The 18,966-nt window shown below is 36.0% G+C and overlaps 1 protein-coding gene and 2 non-coding genes across 3 annotated transcripts in view; all 3 read left to right on the top strand.

The window, feature by feature from the left end:
* The window catches only part of ZFAT (zinc finger and AT-hook domain containing), a 354,552-nt gene that overhangs the window by 22,117 nt on the left and 313,469 nt on the right, over positions 1 to 18,966 (top strand). The window contains exon 2 of the mRNA XM_047422062.1: positions 1,604 to 11,057. The gene's annotated coding sequence lies outside the window, so the exon portion shown is untranslated. The remainder of the gene's footprint in view (positions 1 to 1,603; positions 11,058 to 18,966) is intronic.
* Positions 5,278 to 5,347, top strand: MIR30D (microRNA 30d). The gene has a single exon (NR_029599.1). It is a non-coding gene; the product is annotated as a microRNA 30d (primary transcript).
* MIR30B (microRNA 30b) lies at positions 9,616 to 9,703 on the top strand. Its single transcript, NR_029666.1, has one exon. It is a non-coding gene; the product is annotated as a microRNA 30b (primary transcript).

Genomic DNA, 18,966 nt, shown 5'->3' with positions numbered 1-18,966 from the left:
AATATACTTATTGAAACGTAGGTTGCGTTTATATAGTGCTACCCTCCAGGATTCTTGGAAATTTAAATGTATTATTGTATGTATGAATCATGGAACGCACTATAGAATCTATAGTGGTTATCAGTTTTGTTTTGGGTGTAGTTCATGGTGTTTAGTTAAGTCTCTAAAGCAGAGTTTAGGATCTCTGCCTTTCAGTTATCTGAGTGCTGTGGGGCTACATACCCACTCAGATTCTCTTGTTCTAAGTGGTCTTAACACTCAGTTAGCTCTATGTGTTGGTGGTGACAAATTTTACTATATTTATGACCTAGGTCTTTGAGTGGGCACTGTTTCAAGAATCTAGGAAGGTACTGGCTACTATTCAACTCACTGTCGGTTTCAATTATGGTCAGAGAATTTTGAAAACAAAAATTCTGAATGCCCTATAGTTTAATAAAAAGTAGTTGATCCTTTTGTTCAAAGCACTGTCCCACTTCACCTCCCCTCTAGGTTTGAAGCATTCCTATGCAGACAGTTTACCGACATGATAAACAAAATTATCCATTCATGCATCCTAGGATTTTAATGTTACCATCGCCCTCCACTCAAAATGCAATATGCATTTAGTCTGTAATAGCATCACTCCATTTTAAGTGAATAGTTGTTTCAGCTTTGATTTGTAATCACAATTAAGGTAAATTATCCTTGTTTGCCTAGGACTGTCCTGGTTTTAAAACTCAAAATCTCTTGTCCAAGGAACCCTCACAGTCCCGGACAAACCAGAACAATTTCTTAAAATACTATTTAGGAAAACTGGTCACCCGAACGGCAAGGCTGTGTTGTTGATTAGGCTTTAGGCATGTTATTGAGACTATAGACTAAGCTCAGATCAATGGTTTTGAAGATTCTGTATGGGTCAGGATTACCTGGAGTACTTGTTAAACAGACTGCTGGCTCCCATCCCCCTAGTTTGGATGGAGTAGGTCTGTGGTGGGGGTCTGAGAATTACTTTAGTAACAGTTGCCTAAGCCATGCTGACGCTGCTGGTTAGGAGAGTGCATTGAGAACCACTGGCCTAGATCAGGCTGTGTGCTGTGTGAGTATATGATGATGCTTGGTTCAGAATTGTGGAGAAAGGGGAGCTGTGTTTCTCTGCCTCACAGGTCTAAGCACCAATAACACCAAAGGGTATTTGTATCTGAACTGTGCTCATACAGCACAAGAAGAGACGTGCTCCTGTTAGAGGTGACAGAAGTAGGGGAAGGATTAAAAACAGTCTAGCTGTCAAATCCTTCACAGTATGGATATATTTTGATTGTTTATAGTATCTTAGGCAAACTTTGATTTGATAATTAATTTGAGTCTTATAGTCACAACATCTGAAATGGATACTTCAGAAAGCAGATATTCATTATTATAGCAGAACTGATTATAGCTGGGTTTAGCAGGGATAATGGTACCCATCTTGCCTACTTCTCAGTTATCACTGTAAAAATCTAGTTACATAAAAGGTGTGAGCATGCGGTACAAATAAGATGTCATGGTGATGATTAAAGTGTACTTTGTTGTTGGACAGTATGTTTCACAGTGCTTTCATCTTCATGTTCCATTTGGTTGTTTTCAGGTGTCTTCAGAATTCGGCAAAGTAGATGGGACTGCAGACGTTACCATTCCCTGTGACTCTTGCTACGATCTTACAGACTTCATTGTGCTGGGCTTAGATGTCTTCAGAGTCACCAGGTACTTGGTTGTTCCTAGATAGTGGGCCTGCCTGATCAGGATTTGGTATTTTTCCCACTGAATTAAAATTGTTTTGCCTAAGCCTCATTTTGTGTGTCAAGAAAATAAAGGCAAAAGAGTAAGTGCTGTGCTCCTAATCCACAGCTAGCTGGTAGTCAGCAGCCTGGGAGGCTGAGTCTCTGGTCTCCTAGTCTCAACCTTCTAGGCAGTGAGCATTGTTAATCACAGAACAGGCCCTCCTTGGACTCCTTGGCTTGCTCGTCTTTGTTTCTCCCAGGGCCTAGCGTTCACATCCACACACATACTACATACGTTTCTGCATGTGTGCATGTGCATGTCAGGGAAACCACAATTTGTTCTCAGCTCCTTACTCATGTGAGCTTAGCGAAATCGTTTCTCCAATCTGTACCTTCTTCTTCATCTGTAAAATAGAATTATCATCTGCTCTGCTACTACCCTTAAAAGTAGTTACTGCATAAGGATGAGAAAATGTATAAAAACACTTTGAAGCTTTTGTTACAAAGGGCAGTTAGTAATAATGAGTAAATGATAAATAAGCCTTATAGAACAGGAAGCCTTTTCATCTTTCTGTCCTAAACACCCTTCTATTTTATAAATTTTTCAAGTAGATTAAGTTTATTAATTTAGATAATGTTTTCTTTTTCTTTTTGTCTCTGCTCTATTTATTTAACATTGGATATATAGAGAATGGTAATTATTATTGAATGGATTGAAAACAAGAATAGAGTCTCTTTGGGAGTATCTGTGTTTTTTGTTTTTTTTTTTTTCCATGTAATTGGGGGCATTTTCTGCTCCATGGTCGGTTTCTGGTGGTTTGTGAATTCTTGCCTTCTGCCAAGTGTTTTCTCCCTGTCACCACCCTGCTACTACTCTTTGTGTTTACCTTCCCAGCTGCCCTGCCTTATTTCAGAGTTCAGAGTCAAATTGTAGCCAACCATTTCTGACAGCCTTCCTAGACATCACTGAATTTCAGCTAATTAATAGATTTAAGGGATGCGAAATCTAGGCCAATTCAGAATTTTACTTCATTTGAGGGTTTTTTTTCCAGAATATTTATCTTAAGTTACAAAATGTTGTTTCCTGTTAATTGTTTTCTTATGTATTCTGGTAAAATTTTATAAACCCAGTAAAACTCTCTTACAACAATACTCTTGGGAGATAATGGCTTGTATTCGTTCTGGATTGTCACATAGGAAGAGATGTGTTTAGGTATCTAACTTGGTTTCAGCATTGTACTTGAGACATCTGTGGTAGGACAGAATCTGTGGCAAATGTGGCATGGCATACATTATATATGGATATTCATAAACTGCTTTTGATAGATTGACAAACATTTCCAGTTACTGAACCAGTAGCACTGTTCCAGTCAGTAGCTCAGTAATATCCATTTTTTTGTCTGTACAGCAGATTGTATGTATGCATGTGTGTTTTGCCCATTTTTATAAAAATGTGTTAAAAGTAAAATGCTAATGCTGATAGAAAATTGACCCGCAAATATGTAATGTTTTTGACAAAGATGGAAATCATAAAGCATGCCAAAAATGGTAAACCTTTAGCTTCAGCTATCCCCTCATTAGACTTTACCTTCTTACTGTGTATTATTACAAAGATTGTGTCTAGAAGATACTTTATAATGATAGAAGGTATTTTATAATAGGGTTTCTTATCACATATACTTAATATTCAACTTCTGTACATTTAATTTTCATGTTTCCTCAAGAATATATTATACAAAGTCATAGCATTTGACAAAATTCCTTCATAACTCTGAAGAAAATATTCTATGTATTGTTTGTGTGAGTTAAATACAGTGGCTCTGATAAAAATGTCTTTTGATCAGTCTTTAAAAAAATTAAACTGAGGACAGGAAGGTAAATTAAAGGGGAGATTTGGAGACTTGTGGTAACTGGTTTATTGCAACTTAATGTGCAGCATCCTCATTAGTCAAGTATCATGTGCCTACCTAGGCATGAAATAGCTATTTTTTTCCTGATTTAAATCTGGAAAGTTTCAGTTGTAGTACAGTTTGAATAGTTGTTGTTGTAAATAGCCACTGGACTTTTTAAAAAAGTATTTTTCTTCAAAAACAGTGAAGGTCATCTTGTATCCATAGAGACCACATGTACTTTCCTCATTATTTCCAGCATTATTTATATAATGGGTAGAGTTATTTACAACATTAAACAAAAAGTATTTCAGAGAGCAACCGTTAAATATTATCACAGGGTAAATATCAGCAACTGAAATCCTTTTCTCATAGTTTCTCAAAAAATTTGGTATTAGGAAATTAATAGTCTCTCAGAATTTGTATATTGGTTTTCTTCAGTAGTTATTCTGTAGAGTGTGTGTGTACATATGCATGCTCATGTATGTATGTATGTTCATTTCTTAAATCATTTCATAAATCACTGTGACTTAATTGTGGACTTTAATTGTTTTCATAGTTTTTTTCCCCAAAAGAAGGTTACTTTACATATTTTATTTTATTTTTATTTTTATTTTTTTTGAGACAGGGTCTCACTCTGTCGCCCAGGCTGCAGTGCAGTGGCATGAGCTCAGCTCACTGCAGCCTCCACCTCCCAAGCTCAGGGATCCTCTTACCTCAGCCTCCCGAATAGCTGGGACCGCATGCACCACCACACCCAGCTAATATGTTGTATGTTTTTAGAGGTAGGGTTTTGCCACTTAGCCCAAGGCTGGTCTTGAACTCCGGGACTCAAGCGATCTACCCATCCACCTGCCTCGGCCTCCCAAAGTGCTGTGATTATAGACATGAGCCACTGTGCCTGGCAATTTTACATATTTTAAATTAAAGCAAATCTTGGTTTTTGATGGAATGCAGATTTACTTATATTTCACTTAGTCTTTTTCCTTTCTTTCAGAAAAGTGGTGTGGAAACAAAATGGTTTTAGTATATTGCCTTATAAACAAATTTAAGATCATGAGTTTCTTTTATTATCCTCTTTGTTTTGCTCATTTCCTTGAACTGTACATCCCTAACCTAAATCAGCTGGAGACAGGGGAAGAAAGTGTTAGATTCTTACTCAGTTTAGATCCTCTGCCAGGAAAACCCACTCTATTCATTGTCAACTAAATTAACGCTTTTTTAAATAAAAGGAGTCATTTTTAACAATAACGTCAGGGCAGCAGGCATCCATGAAATGTATGGTCACTGATCATTAGGGTTATCATTCTAATGTGTTTACTATTTTGAAACTCTAGGGAGAAGAAAACTTATTTTTGCATATGTTGGAAAAATGTATCCTCATGTAGGATATCAGGGTAATATCTTTAATGTTTCATACTTACCAAGATAAATTTGTAATGCGTATTTTCTTTTAAAATTAGATTTATTTAGGAGAAATTGCACTTGGTGAACCACTTTCTCTTTAATTATTAGCATTAACTTTATCATTTTTGTTTCAAGATGTCACAGCTATTGTTCAGCACTAGAAATTATATAAATTATTAGCTGAAGATGATGACTGGCAACATTTATGTCTGTTCCTCCTCTTAAATTTCTTGTTCAGAAAGTCTGTTGTTGTAAACATCCCCGACTGGAAGCTGTAAGACACAGCTAAGCTTTCAGTCAGATGTTTGCTGCTACCGGCTATTCACAGACATCCTCTTGATATAATTCTGTCCCGGAGTGGAGTTGAGGAGGCTATAAAATGTGTGGGAAAACCTCAGAAATCTTTAGCTGCATTCTTTTACTGCACTGACAGTGCACGTATTATGATAGTTGAATGTAGGGTGCTCTCCTAATAACAGGATATGCCGTCTCGAGCTTCCCAGACTTAGCGTGCTGCTGCTGGGCCTTAGAGAATTTAGTTAAATAAAAAGTGTCACCGCCTATTCCTGTTTCTGCCCTGTCAATGAAATTTTAGTCTTTATAACCTTTCCAAGTAGGCTGGAGTTTAACATCCCAACAATTCAGGAGACTGATTTTCTCCATTGTAAATTCTGTGGAAGTTCTGGAGAATAATTTCATCACTACCACCCAGCAGTATGCAATCTAGAAATTTCAGCTTTCCCTATACTTAAAAGAGATGTGTGTGCAACATTTTTCTCCGTCCTCTTAGCCCCCCACTTCCTGTTCCCCTCACCCTGAGTGATATTACAGCTCCTAATCAGAACTCTCCTCTAAGAAAAACTGCAAGACGTCAAGCCACTAAGCCTGTTTACATTTGCTAATGGGTATGCATGTCTTTTTATATTAATATTTTTCCTAAGTATTTTCAGATTGTTGCTTTCAGATTTATTGCTTCCTCCTTAAAATATAGCTGCCCTGAAAGCAGCTGTATTGTATCTATTTTTTGTGTTTCCCCACAGATCTGAATAATCCAGGGCTTTTCTCACAGATGACACTCAGTGTGGACTAATTGATAATGTATAATTTTATAGCAACTATTTTCTGAGTTTTAAAAAATTGTTATTTTATTTCTGTTAGTCTTTCAGACACTGGAAAACATTTCTATTTTATTGGCATTTTTCTTTTCAATAAAGCATTGGTTTTTTTAAATCATTTATTTTTATTAAACTGCTAAACATACTATGTTAGGTTCCATACATGATTAAACCACCAAAAGATAAAGGTCTTGCCAATCTAATGTATTTACATGCTTATTTTCTTTGATTAGATTATAAGCTTTCTGAGGTCAGAGACATTAAATCTTGATAATTCTATTTTTTCCTGTTATAAACAGCAAGTAAAGCACCTTGCATGTATAGTACTTTAGTAATGATTTTATATTATCTTATTGCAGCAGTGTCTACTGTTGCCTCTTATCTTTTATCCAGATGAGCAAATGACAGTTTTGGTCATAATGTAGTTACCCCAGATGTATTTGTGCTACAGCTTTTATTTTTTAAATGCTCTTTTGTTAGAGTAGTAGTTTATAAGACTTATTTGGGGATGGGGGTCAGTTGCTTCAGACTCAGGTGGCTTTCCAACTTGTAAATACAATTTTCAGGCTGGATGATTAGCATGCATCAAGCATCCCTTCCTATGAACTCTAAATAAAGCAGATTTATTGCATATTCTGTGGCCCTCTGTTTTAGCACATTGGAAACCTTAGACTCAAATAGCAGTGAAAGGATAGTTATTGCTGAGCTCAGAAGTCTTCCCTGCCAAAGGTAGAATGTAATGTGTTCTGTGGTAATAGGATTATTTTGTTTGACCAGGTGACACTGTTTATTTCTTATGAAAAATTTTGATATACTGCTTTAAAATTTAGTAAGATGGATGCATAATTTATGCAGTGAAATTTGAAAGGTTTTTCAAAATGATAAGGCCAAACCTAAGCTAAATGAGGGGGTAGGCATTCTTTATAATAAAGCTGTTATACTCTGCCCAGCTAGGCCAGTTATCCCTAGATGCTACAGATTAATGGGGCAATCTGTGTTATGTAACATTTGTTCTATATTATTCTGCCTCTAATGAGGTGAATCAAAGACGATGTCAGTTTTAATTCTGGATGCCCTTGCTTCAGTATAGTATAATACATAGGTACAGCCTTTTTTAGTAGTTTTCAGATGGCTTCTTTATGTTTTTATATTGAAGAACCACTAACTTCCCATTGGCCTATAAGGTTAGCAATTGATTATTTATAGCAAATGGCTTGAAATGTTAGATCATCAGTATTTGTCAATAAGCCTGTAATAACTTGTTTCCCTAGCCCTTAACTTAGTGTTGAAGAAAAAAATTGTGGTATTCATTGATAGGACTTAGAAAGCACAGAAATTACTTATTATTTAAGATTTGTTCTACCAATTGATATTTAAAGTAAAACATTTTTAGTTACTGAACACCATTCTGTAAATGACAGTATTTTATCCTGAGTATATGGTCTGAAATGACTTAGGGACAACTTTTTAAAGCAAATAACTAATTACAAAATTGGGTCTTCCAATTTATTTCAAATTAGATGCTTTTGTACAAATATTCTTGGTTAGAAATAGTCATATAAATACACTGTTGGACTTGTTCTCATTGATCTCCACACCTCAGTTCCTTCTACATGAGTCATGGGCTTGAGGTTACCCAGAAATGGACTGTGAACCTATAAACCCCAGCATGCATGTGGTATTGCGTCGAGCATGTTCTGTGATTCCCTTCTACTCTTGTTACAGCTTTATTCATTGGATCAATGTGCATTATTTGCTGTGTGTGCTCAGGTAATATTTTTGTTTCTTTTTTTTAGTTTGAATATCAGTTTGGGCTTAGTTACTTTTTAAAATAAGGCTGTTTCAGATAGTCTCTGCCACACTTTGCCTAGCCTGGTTAATTGTGGGTGGACCCATGCTACATGTTTTGGCATTGCCTTTTTCTTATCTGTACCATATTACAAACTTCCTAGTAATTTGACATTCACTGCTGTCTTTGCTTTAGCTTTCCAACAGGTTTGGTGAAACAGTCCATTGCTGTTCAATATCAGCTTGCATCAGAATTACTTGGAGGGCTTATTGATTAAAACACAGATTGCTGGGCCCTGCAAAAAAAGTTTCTGATTCAGTAGGTCTGGGGTGGAACATAAGAATGTGCTTTTCCCCCCACAGTTCCCAAGTACTGCTGATGCTGCTCCTCTAGGCCCATGCTTTCAGAATCACAGAGCTCATCTTACATTCTTTTCCTGCTAGATATTATGCCCAATTAATACATGAAGTAAAACAGAAAAATCCTTAACTTAAAAACATGTATTAATCCAGAAGTTTGATTATAAAAAGGTTTGTTGAAAATGTGAGACCATTTTTTCTCCCAGAGAAAAAGTATATTAATTGTCTAGCTGGGAGGGGCCTATTTGAATGTGTTTTCAGAGAAAAGCAGAAGAAAAAAATACGGTTGTAATAGAAGTAGTTAAAACAGAAAAGCAGTATGGTTGTAGAGTGGGGTGGCGGGGAGGTATATGTGTATTTAATCTTGAGAACCAATGCTTTTGGAAAACAGCCCGAAGGGACAAGAGACTAGGTAGAGACTGGCGAGGTTCCTGAAAGTCCTGGGTTACCTGTGAAATGCCAAAGATTTTTAAAGTTTGCTGGCAGTGGTTATTATATGTAGTTTTACTTCCAAATTTGAAGATTTCCTCTTCTTTGATGCAAGTGTGTTGGTAGGACCACTGATAATAGTTAGTGGAGATATTTGTGGGAATATATTTTTAATCAGAAAGAATGCAAAAAGAGGGGGAGACATTTCTTTGAGACACCTTAATGACACTGGGAACAGTAGAAGGTGGAAAGAGATCAGAGTGTGGGAAAGATGTGCCTGAGATGAAATTATCTGAATTCTGAATGTGGGGGAGAAGATGAGGAGAGGGTTGAGGGGGAGGAGAGATGACTAAGCTCCTCACAGTGTTTCATTAACTGTCTTTTACCTAAAGGAGGAATCTTCTTAATGAAGATTGGTTGATGCATCATACTGGTCATCAAGTAAGTTCTTATAAATGCAAGTTTGATTGTTTTGAAGGGAAGGATATAGGAAGGCTGGATAATCAGCTACATTTAGATATGGAACACTACAGGATGTCGGCATTTATTGTTGTAAATTCCTTTGGTGAAAAACGTTATCACTTGTTTGTGACTAGCCTGGGCAATATAGTGAGACCTTGTCTCTAAAAAAAATTTTATTAATAAGAAAAATTAGCCGGGCATAGTAGCGTGCCTGTAGTGCCCCCCACTGCCCTGGACACGCCCCCACTTCCAAAAAAACAAACACCCAACTCACTTCTGCCTTTTCCTTGGATTCTACACTTTCTCTCAGGATATCTTTCCGATTGAGTCTTGCCTCATTTATGTGAATGCTGTGCCTGTTCTTTTTTTCAACAGAGTCTTACGTAAAGAACCGTACAAACTTAGTAAAGAGTTTAAGTCCTGCTTTAAACCAAGTTTCAGTTCATGTAAACATCCTACACTCAGCTGTAATACATGGATTGGCTGGGAGGTGGATGTTTACTTCAGCTGACTTGGAATGTCAACCAATTAACATTGATAAAAGATTTGGCAAGAATAGTATACAGAGGCTTGAATTTTTAATGTAATTAATGTAATTAAAGGTTTGTTGGAAATGTGAGACCATTTTGTTCTCCCAGAGAAAAAGTGTGTTAATTGTCTAGCTGGCAGGGATCTACTTGAATATGTTTGCAGAGAAAAGCAGAAGAAAGCATGGTTGCAGTAGGAGTAGTTAAAACAGAAAAACAGTATGCTTATAGAGGAAAAATTACTCTAAATTTATTAAAATTCCTTTAAATTTGTTACTCAATTTAAATTTTTATTGTATCTTTTCAATTTTGCTATAGCACTAACATGACATAAGGCTCTGGGTATTGGGACAAAAGAATGCCCTTGTTTGGTAGTTGGGGTCGGGTTTGTAGTATTGCAGTGTGCTTTAACAAGCATGGGCTTTGACATCAGACATTTGTTGCCATCTGGACTCCACAAGTGAATTTGCTACGGGATTTGGAGGAGGGAAAGGCACTGTTTCCATACCTCAGTGGTTTTCTCATCTGTAAAATAAGTATGTGATTGCATGGATTGACTTACATGATGAATATAAAGTTGTTCATTAGTACAGTACCTGTCATATTAAGTACTCAATAAATGCTAGTTATTATTAATGCTGTGTTGTAGGTGTTCAGTAAATAGTTGCCATAATGCTTAAAGCAGACATAACTTGTTTTTATTTTTGCAATAAAGATGATGCCAACTTTTTGGTTTAATGGAAATGCTTTGAATCTTTGATATTGTTGTAATATAGTGGCAAAGAATTTTGAATCCCAGCTTCTGGAGCTCATATCTTGATTCTGCGAGTTACTTCGCTATGTTACTTTGGGGGAAGTTATTAATCTCTCTGTGCCTCAGTTTCCTCAGTCGACTAAATTGAAATTATAATAGCACCTACCTGATAGGATTGTTGAGACTAAATGAGGTAACAATTTAAAAATAAGCTAATACCTGATAATTAGTTCTATATATGTACTGATTGGTCTAAACGTTATTTCCATTTTCATGTCTTTACTTAAAATACTGAAAATTAATTTTTTATAGCTTTGTTTTTCAGTTCCATGAAATCAGCCTGCCTTTTCTTTTTTTGGTGATACATCCACATTCTGTATAGGTGAAAAGCAAAACAAACAAGTATAAAACGAAAATTATGTAAGAAGTACACACATCCTAGCAGCTTGGCAAGTGTCTGTATGCTCTTGCCTGTGCCTAAATCCAGAATTAGAATTCATGCTTGGTGCTCCTGTGGAAGATGTCTAAATGTTATGAGAAATACATGATTAAATAAAAATGTGAAATGAAAGCATGGAGACTTGTTGAAGGTGAGTGCTGTTTTTCTAATTATATATTTTATTTGTTTAATGAATAATTTGTTAATTTTCTTTGTCATTACGAGAGAGCTGTTTTATTCTGTACTTAGGTGCATAGCATACTATGTTTTAGTGAGCTCCACATGTTAATTTGAAACTTGCCAAATTTTTACATTATTTTATAATTTATAGTACTTTGAGAAACATATTGCAATGCATTACAAAGCATATAATGTAAAGGTAGTTTTATGAAGTGTTTTTCTCCCAAATTAAGCATATTTGGGAATTGCCCATCAATTTGTTTTTGAACCTCAGTGCATAAAATATAGAATTTTTCTTTCATATGCTAGATGTGAAAAATACTCAGCATATGCATGTGGTTTAGGCTACAAAATAGCCTGTAGGTTAAATTCCTAATTCTAGTGTTTAATTCATTGCCTTTTTTCTTCTTGTTTAATGGCCATATGTTTATATCTTTATATTACATACATTCCTGATTATGTAATAAGGTCTTTGATCATGTGGGCTATCAGATTTGCCTCACTTTGTCTCTTAGAAGAAGCTATACATGAAACTATGTTGTACTTAAGTGAAAATTTGAGTATTTTTCTTGTTTGAATTAATGCAGTGAAACATTCTACTTACAGTTAGCTGTCTCCCACCCTTACAGGAAGGTACATGCCTTCATTTTTTAAAACACTGTATATTTATTAGAATTGTTACAGAATTTTAGTAAATATATTCTAATCACATATTTTCTGATTAATGTGTGCTTATCAGTTTTAAATGTTATGAAATCTGGATATATGTTAAAATGTCTCAGTTTTCCCCTCTTGTTTACCATATTGCCATTTGGTATTAATAGATAACATAATGTAAAATTGGATGTCTTTGATAATTTTGGGATATGTTCTGAAATTAAACTTGAACTTTTTTCTGTGAATTTTGAAGATTTGGTATCTTATAATTATTTGGTGAGCATTTGGCATGAATTATTTAGCTTCTCCCCTGTTTATGATTTATTTCTCTTGTCATCGATTTCCAATAGGAAAATGTTATGGTTCTAAATGTCTCCTGTAGACTTCAGTAATTGAAAAATGTCAGTCAAGATGGGGGGAATCTGTAATATATAATAGAGTTTATCTTTTAGTTATGTTCATTTCCACTTTTTTTAATGTGTTTTTTTTTTAGTAAATGTCAAAAGTGTTACTCAGTGCAACATATTATGCAATATTATAATCAACTAACCTCTTCATTGATAATGACTTCATATTGAGAGGTTTTTTAAATCTAGAAATATTCTTGTTTTAAATTCCAGGTTAAAATGTAAAGGTATTTTTATTTTTTTAATTTTAATTCTTCTCAAAGCTACTAGTACATTATAAAACAACAATTTCACATTTAGAATTTTTATATGTATATAAATTAGGATTATTTTTTAATATTAGCCTTAACTTTCTTTAACTTTTATGAAAAACAACTAGTCCCAAGGGTATTTTTACTATTTAATATACATTATTCCTGTGATTCAAAATCTTAGCAGTAGAACCTGTTGAGCTACTTAACTTTCTGTCTTGGGACTATCCAGGTGCAGTTATAACTGGTTTCAAAGTTGTGACCTTTTCCTTGCTTGTTTCAAAATCATTCCTTAAAAAATGTTCAGTATTTTTCTTTTGTCAAAAAATAAAAACAGGATTTGTGGGTTGTTCTGTTTTTTAAAATTAGTTTGAGAAACTTCCTTTGCCACTTGTTTTCTGTGCAAATGTTGTAAGAGCTCAAATTCCCTGGGGGTAGGGAGGACTTTTATAAGGTTTTTTTGGTTGAAGGGTATAAAAGGCACTTAAAAGGTATACAGTTACTTTTATTTCGATATCCCAGTCATTTTGACATTATGATAAGCTTTCCCCACTTTATAGGTTATCTGAAAATTTGGTGGGGGGCGGGTATTTTATTTATACTTAATATAACAAAATTATTTTCCTATGTGTAGTCAATAGCACATACAAAAAATTATCTCCTGTTTGTAGTCAGTAGCACAGTCAGTATTCACCAAAATACTGAGTTATTTTTCAAGTAAAGGTATAAGTATGAATGAGAAACAGTTTGTGGGTTGGGTATTGTCAGTCCTTCTTTTTCAGATAACTTTCTAAATGGTCATTCAATCTGTAATCTTAAACTTTTTTAATGTTATAAATTCTTCAAATCAGTATTTGTATTAAATGCAGTGACCAGACTATGTCACTGATACAATGTCATGATTAGATGTGCAGAAGACTATGTTACATGGATGATAAATGAACTTTTAACATATAGAAATTAATATCAGATTAAACTAAAACATTAAGCAAAGTTAATACATGCTTGCATACATATATATATTTATTTATTAATGATATGTGGAGAATCTTTGTGCTTCATAGTCACTAGACCTAAAGTAGAAGCAGTTGTCAAGAATGTCCAACTGCTATTCATCTTTGTGGCCAAAGTAAATTTCAGATTTTTTTTTTGTAATGGTTTTCTTTAGTCTCTTTATTAACCCATCATCATGACAAGTCTGTCAAGTGACACATGTGAAAAGCAGATGTCCTTTCTTATTCCTGGTGCTTCCTAAGGAGGCAGTGCAATGCAGGAGAAGGAACATTATTAGAGATAAAGGAAAAAACCAGAAGTGCTTTCTCCTCTCACATTCCACTCAACACTTCTCTCACCAAATGTGTGTGGGGATTTCTCTCCACCAACAACCAGCAGTTCTTTACTGCAGATTCTCCAGTGGATACCAGCCAGGTGTCCTCTAATTCAGTTCAATTCTGACATTATCTACTGGGAGATAGTGTCAGATCCCGCAAGTGGAGGGCTCAGTCCTACAAGACTACCCCTTACTTCAGATGTCAGTCACAAGCAGTTAGCGGTTTGTGATTCTGACCAACTGGCTAGAGGTCCCCCTCCTCAAGTGTGATTAATTTGCTAGAGCAGCTCACAGAATTCAGGGAAACACTTTATTTACATTTACCCATTTATTATAAAGGATATTATGAAGGATACACATGAACTGCCAGAAAGACAAGGAGCATAGGCAAGATACTGAGAAGGGTCACGGAGCTTCTGTGCCTTCTCCAGGTGCACCACCCTCTGGGAATAGTCAGTTCATGTGTTCAGCTGTCTCGAAGCTCATTCGAACCCTGTCCTTCTGAGTTTCTGTGGAGGCTTCATTACGTTAAGGTTCAGAAATCAATACCCCAAAATATGGGGCTTTGACATGCTGAATTAAAGAAGCAGCCTCAAGGCCTCTTGGCCTTCTCCAGCTCTCCTCACCCAAATCCTGTCTCTCCCAAAGCACAAGATGAGGCTGTTCACCAAAGTTCCCTTATTTACCTAGAAACTGGACCTTAAAGAGGAACACAGTTGCCTGCGATTCCATCCCTGTAATTTTATTAACCAGAGATTAAAACTTATATCACAGAGGAAGAGACTAAAAATTAAACACCACACCTGGAGCCCAGATGACCTGTCCCAATCTATTATCTGTTCTCCAGTCCCATTTAGTTCCCAAAGGGAATCATTTACAAACCATTGTCTGATCTTCCGGCCCATTTATTTACAGCTCCCCCTCTTTCCCCAATGAAAATGATACTTAAGTGTCAGCCATCTATCGGCTCTTTGAGTTTTCACATTTTGTATGACTCCTGTGCACACACATGCATGTAATAACTGTTATACTTGTTAACTTTTTTTCATTATAGGGGTATCCACCATGATTATATATGATGGGGAGGAAAGGGATTACTCCATTTCTGCCCCTGCAGTCTGTAGGCATGATTGATTACATCATTGGTCGCCGGTGATTAACTCAGTCTCCAAGCCCTGTCGTGTCCCTGGAGGTTGGAGGGTGGCACTGAAAGCTCCAACCATCTCATCATGCTTTGATCTTTCCGATGACCAGACCCCACCCTGAAGCTATCTACGGGTCCCCAGCAACATTCATTTCGTTATCATACAAATGACATTCTTACAATTTCAGAGATTCCAAGGGCTTTAGGAAATGGAGATGAAGAGCAAATATATATTTCACAATATCACAAACATACCCTTGGGAATTAGACCTCTGATCTAATCTAGGCTCCCTCACTTGCCATTTTTGTGACCTTGAACAAGTTGTTCATCTTTTCTGGATAGTTCTCTGTTAAAAAAATTAAAATAAAAAAATGGTGGCTATCAGGTTGTTAGGAGGACTAGATAAGAGAACTATGTGAAGGACCCTGCACAGTGCTAGCAACAAAGTTGTTTAGTAAGTGCTATTTCAATTTATTTTGCTTCCAAGCTCATGTGAGCTCCCTCAGTGTGTACCACCAAATCACATGATGTGTATCCCAGTCAAATCTTAAAGGTCATCCACCTTGAATCTTTAAGTTAATTAACGTGTGTTTTTAAAACTGCATTATAAGAACGTTAGGGTTTTTGTTTTGATCCTATGGAAGTTAAATTTTTTACACAAGCATTCAACTGTTTAGCTTCAAACTGAACAGATAAATAGTCTGTATTATTTCATTATGTATTAAAAAATGATTAAGCCTGCCTCAGGCAGTTCAGGCAAAGCAGGTAAAAGATTATCAAGGAGTAACATTAGAAAACACTAATCAGAGTGCCTAAAAAGCTTTATGCGGTCCAGGTTGTACAGGGATGTTGGAACAGTAAAACAAACAAAACATTACAAGGTATGAAGCGTTCGAGATAGGTAGAATAGAGCAGGTTATATTAGAGAAGTCTCTTCTAAAATTGTGTTGGCTAGCCTGGGATTTGAACTTATACCGTGTATGTATGTCCATGTGTAACAGGTTGAACATGCAAGAAGCAGTGTTCATAAAAGGTGGCAAACTTGTTTTACTTGTTTCTCAGTCTTTTCAGATCAGTACTTATAAAACACTGATATTTACAGTAAATATCTTATATTAAATATTAGCTAACCCTATTAAATTGTGTGTCCTTGTGCTGCAGTCATTTAATGACCTCATTCTTTGGTAAGTTGGCATGTGATTTGAGATAGCTCTAAGTGCTAATGGATTGTTTGAAGGAGTTAAAGGCAAAACCAGGAAGAGAAAACTATTTTTAGGAAAAAGCGATCATACAACAGGCCTTAAATAGAAGAAATGAGATATCTCTATCTTTACTATGTAACCTTTAATTCCTTACACATTTTGACTTCATATTTTTTGTATGTAAATGAGAATGTTATAGTCTTGTAAATTCCTTTTCCTCTGTGACTACATTCAGTTATTTATTTTATTGTGTGTTTGTGCATGTCGGTAGAGCACAGTATTTAGTAGAATGAGTTATTGGTTAAACCACCTGGATTCATTTGTAAAATGGGGCCACCTGTCTCTTAAATTGTAATGAGGATTTGATTAGATAATCTAGATAAATCACTTAGCACAAGAGTCTCCAGCCCCCGGACTCTTGACTGGTACTGGTCTGTGGCCTGTTAGGCACTGGGCTGCACAGCAGGAGGTGAGCAGGGAGCAAGCTAGCACTAGGGCCCAAGCTCCGCCTCCTGTCGGATCAGTGGCAGCATTAGATACTCATAGGAGCACAGACCCTGTTGTGAACTGTGCGTGTGAGGGATCTAGGTTTCGTGCTCCTTACAAGAATCTAATTAATGCCCGATGAGTTGAGGTGGAACAGTTTCTTCCCAAAACCGTCTCAGGAAACCTGTCCCTGGTGCCAAAATTTGGGGGACCTCTGACGTAGCACACTATCTGGCACATACCAAGCACTCAGAAAATATCCCATTTCTCAAAACTCAGTTCCAGTGTCAAGTCTTAATAGTATATTGATCTTGGAACTCCAAGGTAGTTGGTCCTCTCTTTGTGCCATAAATGTGCCTTGTACTCAGTAGTGCTAAATTGCTATCAACTAGTGCTAAATGTACTACTAATTCATCTGTGTGTCCACTTCCCTTCTTAGATTGTGAGCCCCTTGAGGACAGAGATGGGTTTACTCATATTTATAAATTCATTGGCATGATAAATATTTGCTGAAAGAATAAAATTGTATTCTTATGTTTTAAGCAGGGTCCCCTCCACCTCTGAGTGGAAGATGGTCTGGGAGCAAAGGTGACAGGTCTTCTAAAAAATCTGGCCACATTCTCAACCCACCACACCCCCGCTTTTTTAAACAGCTATTTAATTGCCATTGTAATCCTAAGGATTGGATCAATTTTTCACTTCCCTTTTTCACACTTTTTTCCTTTTACTAAGAAAATAAAGTAATAAAGTGACTGCCAAATGGAGAAAACTGTCCACTAAATATGAATTAATAAGTGCTATTATCAGAAATTGTGTAAAAGCAACATAATGGCACTATAAAAAGGTATTATCTTAGAATCAAAAACCTTGGGTTTATATTATAGCCCTGCTACTTTCTAGTCATATGACAGTGATCAAGCTATATTACCTCTTTGGCTTGACAAAATAGGGGTCATCTCTATTTCTGGCTTGTTATGATTGATGTGAAATATTCATACAAACTACCACTGTGCCTGGTAAGTAGAAGACACTCAAATATGTCTTGGAGTTACAGTTAATACTGTATCGTTTAAATTTGAGAAAAACCAACTTTAAAAAATCACATAGATACAGTTGTTTACTGCTAGAAATTTTATTTAAATTAGTTGATACTCTTGGTTAGGTAATGAAAAACAATGGTTTTATCTCCATTATGCTGTGATAGGGAAGAGTAACACAGTTCAAATGGCAAAGGCATACCTGACAATTAAAATGCATAGTTAAAGGCTAATACTTCCTGAACACAAGAAGACAAGTCTCTACTTGATACTACTCTCCACAGTTAAATCATTGATACTTTGTGCCATACAGTGAAAACAGAACCATCTAGGTGTTCACGGATTGTATTTTTCCTTATGAAAGGTAGAAGGTTAGAGAAAATTATTCCCAATACAATTAATACAAATAAAATTGGTTATTAGGTGCCTTTTAATTAGGCAGTAAGGGCATATGAAGCTTCATTACCTATGAGAATTTTGTCAAAATTATTTCCCAGTTACCATGTTTTAAAACAGCCTCTCAGAATTCCCCACTTCTAATTTCTCCTTTCTATTCTACCAATTTTACTCCATACCTTTTTGCTAAATAAACATTTTCTTCCAACTCTGAGTTTGGTGTTTTTTTCATTTGATCTGCTCTTCAAAGTGTATCAGCTAGTGATTGAATTAGGCTATGGTGTAACAGAGAACTCTAAGACAGTAGCTTAAACAAGATTTTTTTTTTAACCCCTGAGTCTTGCTGCCTTTTTCACAAAGACAAAGCTTTTTCAGAAACTCCCAGCTTATGTCTCATTTGCCACAACTGCGTAACATGGCTATCTTTTAGCTGTAAGAGATGCTGAGAAACATAGTTTTTTTGCTGGGCATATTGTCACTGAGCAAAATCAAAGTTTTATTTGGATTATTGTACTTACAATTCACCTTTTATGGCAATTTAAGTAGTCATTTGTCATAGATTGGAGGATTTCCTGGAAGGGTGAAGAACTTCTATATAGGTTACTTATTCTGACTAACATAAATTATCCTACCACCACAATCCCATAACTCTAAACTTACAGAGATGTCATAGAAAACAACAAATATACACACAGCTAACCACAAAAGAAAAAGGAAATCCCAGCTGCCAGAAGTGAAGAAAAAACAGCCAGAATAGTGAACTCAGCAGCTGAAGGTACACTGACCTAGGTGGATGATAGTGTTGGCTGTGGGTCTCACCAATGGACCCTGAGACTTTAACAGCAAGAGATATGGCCTGACTATACAGGGAAGCTGGGACTGAGACCTACACAAAGCCAAGACCTTAGAAGGTGCTCCAGCCTCAGGAAGGAGGATGAGCAAACTTCTACACAATAACCCAGGGAAGCT

The sequence above is a fragment of the Homo sapiens genome, chromosome 8 (assembly GCF_000001405.40).
Source record: "Homo sapiens chromosome 8, GRCh38.p14 Primary Assembly".
NCBI classification, from domain to species: domain Eukaryota; kingdom Metazoa; phylum Chordata; class Mammalia; order Primates; family Hominidae; genus Homo; species Homo sapiens.
Note: the sequence above shows the minus strand (reverse complement) of the source record. Positions and strands in the feature narration are given on the sequence as shown.